Raw genomic sequence first — 6,187 nt, 5'->3', positions numbered from 1 at the left:
ACTGGTGTTAATCAGTTATATACATTATCCTATTTAATCCTCAGAGCAGTCCTATGAGGTAGGACTGTTAGCCCTGTTTTATAGATGGGGAAAATGAAGCACAGAATGGTTAAGAAATATGCCAATATCACAAATCTAGAACAAATCTGAGCACATGATTTTAAACTGTGCTATGTGTTTCCAAGATCTGATTTTTAGAAATACTGACCATGGCAATACCAATGAGAGAATCTGGGAATAGGATTCTAGAGATCACCCTCAATTTGCAACAGTCTGCAATGATATGTCTGCAACCACTTATTAATTAGGTATTATATCCATATTCCTCCATGGTACCTGAAAGGACAGCATTTAAAATATTACCAAATGCTTTGTTTAAATAAAGATGTAAACACATTTATGGTATTCTCCTATTTCAGAAAGACAAAGGAAAAGGGCCATTTACACTAATAAGATAAACATTTAAATACTATTGTATAGACAAACAGTATTTTCATATCCACTATCTCATCTGTGTTTATTTGACACAATTTTTTCTTAATAAATCTATTGTTAGATCCCCAATCACCATCTTTTTTCCTGTGGTCAAAAACCACATAATTATTTCCAGGATTTGCTTGGGATTGACTTGATACATTCTTTTAAAAAGTAAAAAATACTAAAGGGAAATATAAAATAGGAATGAATAATTATACCTCAGCAACGTATTAATACAATATTTTCTGCTCAAAACAGTACTACCACAAGATACAGACGAAAAACTGAACAACAGTACAGGACTGCCAAGGTCAACCTCCCAAAATCTTTTTCTTTTATAGGTGAGAAATATGGGCCCAGCAAAGTTAAACGATTTTCTTAAGAGCCACCTAACAAATGAGTGGCAGAACTGAACCTGCAATACCATGTCCTTGTCACTATCCCATAATGTTAGTGTGATACCTGCTTTTACTTTCCCTATCATCATTCTTCACTGTTTTTTTGGACAATAGAGTCATACATTAAATCCTGTAATGTGGGAGACTTTAGCTTCCTCTGGTGTTTAGCCACCCTGAAAACCTGCTTCTAAGTTTATACCTGACTTGTACGTACTTATTTAGCTATCTGTCATTCTGATCTTTTTGTACACTTTAATCATTTATATTTCCTTACACTTTTATCTATTGGGACTAATTGCAATTTCAACTTTTAGTCTTTCATCCTTCACGAACCATTTTCCAGTTTTAAAAAAACTCTCTGTATCTCCTATGCCAAATAGTCTCAGCATAAAGTAAGTTATATTAATTGAAATTCCATTTGTGGTTTCATATTTATCTTTCCTCTGAATTAAAATAAACAAATAAAAGGCTGGGCATGGTGGCTCACACCTGTAATCCCAGCACTTTGGGAGGCCAAGGCAAGAGGATCACTTGAGCCCAGGAATTCAAGAAACAACCTAGGTGACAAAGTGAGACCTCATCTCTACAAAAAATAGAAAAAATTGGCCAGGCATAGTGGTTCACACCTGTAGTCCCAGCTACTTGGGAGGCTGAGGTGGGAGGATCACTTGAGCATGGGAAGTTGAGACTGCAGTGAGCTGTGATCATGTCACTGTACTCCAGTCTAGGCGACAGAGCTATACCCTGTCTCAAAACAAAAACAACAAAAAAGAGCATGGCTTTCACTTTTTGTTACTTTTGTTTGTTTCAGATTCAAGGTACACCTGTGCCTAATATTCCTTTTATTTATTTATTTATTTTTTTAACTATAGCTACAGGATAACATGGTCTCTTTCTCTTAAGCTTCTTCCTTTTCGGTAAGAATTAAATCCATGGTATTATTCTCATGCTTTGTCTACTTTAGTAGTAACTGAAGTATCAACAAGGCAGGAATTTTTCAGATGGTTTGATTTTAGCAAGTGAGATTTATACAGGCATTCGCATCATGTCCTCTACTATCTTCAAATTCACAGCCTTTATAGAAAGTACAGCTGTACACACCACCTGTTCCCCTCTTCCACATTTTTTCTCCTCATGTCATTGTTAACGACTCAGCAGAAGTAGGTAGGCACTGATGGGCTACATAGGTCCTGACAGGCTCTTCTCCCTTAGTTATGCTCCCTTGAAAGATTATCTGTGGGTTATGGTGGGTCTACATAGGGTTCAGTTTCTTGTAGTTAAGAGATTACCCGGAAGCAAATGAAATAAAGTGGTTATAGTTTAAAATAAGAAGTTTTCCCACCCAGGAGACAAAAGTTTCTGCACTAGGATTCCCATTTGTTGCTTAAGAAAGAAAAACCAAATTCTAACTCTTTTACACCAATGTTCAGAAAACCTCACAAATGTCTCCCTCCAGGACAGAATGTGCTCCACTATAGTGTCAGAGGTCACCTCGCCAGCCCACTGCAGTGGCACTCCACTCTTCCACATCTGAGTGCTTTCCCACTGTGATTTCTCAAGTACCTCCACTCAAAAGGGGGCATGGTGTGAATGTATTGTGCCACCCCCTTCACTCTGGGCTCGACTGAAGCCCTACCTGAAATTGCCCCAGGCCTCTCCAGGGCCCATAAAATAAAATCCAAGCTTGGATTTTAATCCAGTCCCCCTACCCCCCCACACCCCCAGCTAACTCACCCAAGGCATCTTCTGCCCTTCACTGCATCCCTCCTCATCCCTCTGCTCTAAGGGATACAGACAATTCTCCAAATAAGCCATGCCAATTGTGCCTCTGCACATTTCCATATGCTTTCCTTGCCTCAAGCACCTTTGCTGTCCAGTTCAGACACCACCTCCAAGGGGAAGACTCCCGTCACTCCTCCTTGCTGCATGCAGTGCCCCTTCCATCCTGGGCTAAAGTGTATCACAATCTTTATACTTAACAGCAATTGCCTGTTCTCTTACTTCCCTGTCCTGCGTACATGGTGTGATTTAGGAGTAAAAGCTGTGCTTCTTCATCACCTTGCACCCACAACAAAAAACAATGTCTGAAATATAGTTGGCGCTCAGTGTTTGCTGAATAAAATCCTAAATTAATGTACTAACATCTCAAATATCTTGATATTAGCTTCCTTCATTTTGCAAACATTTACATCCAATTTAGCTCCTAGAAGCCAAAATTGATCAGTGTTGTACGTTCTAATAGGGAATCAGAAACTTGTTATTTCTCAACATGTGTACTGCATTTATCTTTGCTTACAGTTCCAGCAGAGTTTGAAATTGTGTTGGTGCTCTAATCTCGATGTCTATTTGAAACAGCAGTGGAATGAAATTATGGGGCAGGATGAAGAAAAACAATAAAGTAAAAACTGAAACAAGGTTGAAGAAAAGTAGAAAAAACAAAGAAAACCACACCTCTTCTGGCTCCTTAAGGACCCGTTATTGGAATGCTGCTGCTGAAACAAAAGGTCATCTTAGGGAGAATGACTCTTGAATTTTCAAAAGTCATAAGTGGTTCATAATAGCCAAACTTTAATTCAATAATCTTGGAAGAAATGTCTGTAATTATGAGTAAAACTGTCAATTAGATGGGTCTTGGAAAACTTATGGTGCAAAACTTTAGACAGGATAGAACAGTTTTCCATGATAACCTTTTTGACCTAATATCCTTTTGTTCATCTCCCAGTAATAACAATCAAGACGTAGTTTTAAAAGGATCATTACTATTCTTATGCATGATAGGTCAACTGAGGGTCAATTCTCATATCTATGAATCTAAAATTTTTTCAAAGGTGGCAGCAAGTAGATATATAAATCCCAAACCATCTCACAAATGAGAACACTGTGTCGTAGTGGGATCTTATGTATCAATTCACTCACAGACCACAGATATTCCCAATGACTACCCTAGTACACAGAGGTTGAGATGAAAGTAGGGGGGCATGAGTTTGCTCTCAAGGGCTTTCTTTCTCTGCACTCCCCACAGCTTGTTTCAAACAGACTCACTGAGCACTGATTCATCTCGCTTCGCCTGTTTTTTTGTATTTTTGTTTTTTAACATCTTTCTCTACTAGACTGAAACCATCTTGGTGACAGAGAATAGGTTATATTTATCTCTGAATCTAAAGCACCTAAAAGTTCGTACTTCAACATAATAAGGACTCAACAGATCCTTGCTGAAATAATTTGAAAAAAATTAACCTATTTACTCTCTGTTATCCTTTAAAATTATGAAGTACCAAGAATCCCTTTTCTTGGTCAGGCAACAAATTATATCAGGCAACAAATGATATCATTTCTACCAGATACACTTGAAGCTCCTATAATCCAGCATATTTGGCCTTCACAGATGCTCTTGGAAGCATGACCCAAACAAACAAACAAAAATGGAAAAGAAATTTAAAAAGCAGTCCATTTCTCCTTCGTAACCTGTTTGTGGATTGTGATGTGTTCTTACTGTCCCATTATGTGATTAATTTCTCAATTTACTTGTTTATGATATGATGTAAAGAAAACAATAGACATACAGGATTCTCCTTAAATTTTTGTTACTGTTGATCCCAGGCAGTATGAGGTCTTTTTGCCCCACCTTCAAAAAGCCAATCCGAGGTCCCCTTCCAACCAAAGGGAAAAATTTCACTGAAGAAATAAAAGGGATTGATATACAAGAATCTCAAAAAGATGTGCCACTTGGGAGTTCAATGATTCAACTGGGAAGTTCTACATGACCTTAGTAATTTGGGGCAGGGGGAAAGACAAGCACTAAGCATTCAACTACACCCAGAAAAATTCGTCTTACGCTACAAAGCCAAACACCAGTTGTTATTTTCAACTTTTGGACTGGATTACCCCAGAAGGTCTGTGTCAGAGGGCCCTTCCGTGGCTGGTGCCCTGAAGCCAAACAAAGCAGTTTCCCTGATGGTAATGGCTGGCTGGGGAGGGATGTTACCTTGGTAAATTATGATAACTGGGCAATAAGGATTACCAAACCCAACATAAATTTGGAGGGTTTGTACATGTGCCAGCTATGTGAATTACAGATGTATGCATTCACCAAAGGTCTTCTATCATCAGAGACAGAAGTTTGTCATGCATATAGTCCTCACTGAAATGACATCTATTATCAGAACTTTTGCTCAATGCAATATATAGTTCATCCCTGACAGTCTATCATTTGTTCTAAAGTAACCTCAAAGGACTAGTCCTCTTGGCAGATCTACCTCTTGGTGTCCAAATCTGTAGAGCATCCAGTGCAAAGCTATGCAGGACCACCATTTCTCAGTGACTTGTGCTTACAGGCATGAAGCCACAGCCATAGTATCAGTGCTGATAATTATTTTCTTCTTTGAAGCACTGATGTGGTTCATTCGCCCATCTTTTACACAAGGACTCTCTTTGAGCACTTGCCTGGTAACCATGATCTTTTCCGTAACAGCGAGCCCAGGGAAATGAGCCGGACTAGGTTTATAGTCTGTCACTAGAAACTGACAGCATACCAAATCTTCTTTCTAATATGCAGCCAAATTTTGTGGTGAGTATTTTCAGAGGCTGCTTGTGCCTGTGGCATCAAAATTCACATTTATATACTTAACTGAAAAGTACTGTTTTGGAAGTATGGACATACTGACACTTGAAGTGTTTGACAAATACAGATTTTACTCATTGGACCTCCAGACATCTCACATCCTTCCTATTTTTACTTATTCCTCAAACATAAATGGAAAACAGCCTAACCAAAAGACAGGGTATCCAGTAACCATTTCAAAGGAACTATGATGATAGCTGAATAACTTGTGCTAGTTATAAGGCCTTGGGAAATAAGCAAGGTTTACGAAATTTTTAGTTATAACTACATGCTGACTCTGCAAAACAGTATCAGCAAAAGGCTTTTTCTCTGAATAGTCTCAACATAGCATGATTCCCTAATGACTTTCCTTAGAACTTCTGTTTTCAATCTACTGAGATGAAAGCATTTCCTCCAATGTTAGAAACATGTCCTTTTCTAAAAAGTATACCCTCTGCAAATTACCAGATGGCAGATAATAATGCTAATTTAGGATGGGCTTGATGGCATCAGTAAAAATGATCTTGATATAGTGGTTGCATTTATATAACTTTTGTGACTGTAAGAAAGACCAGCTGTCCCTAGTTCGTTTGAGAAGGAAGGGAAGAACAAGAGAAGATTCTGCCCCAAATTTAGGGCAATCACTAAATGACTTAACGGAGTAAATATCCAAAAGTGCTTAGATCTGTATTTCCATTAGGACAAATTGTTC

General features: G+C 38.3%; 1 protein-coding gene across 17 annotated transcripts in view; it reads right to left on the bottom strand.

Annotated features, from left to right (window-relative positions):
* The window catches only part of ST7 (suppression of tumorigenicity 7), a 276,676-nt gene that overhangs the window by 47,883 nt on the left and 222,606 nt on the right, over nucleotides 1–6,187 (bottom strand). The window lies entirely within an intron of this gene.

The sequence above is a fragment of the Homo sapiens genome, chromosome 7, assembly GCF_000001405.40.
Source record: "Homo sapiens chromosome 7, GRCh38.p14 Primary Assembly".
Lineage (NCBI taxonomy): Eukaryota > Metazoa > Chordata > Mammalia > Primates > Hominidae > Homo > Homo sapiens.
This window is presented reverse-complemented; position numbering and strand designations above follow the sequence as displayed.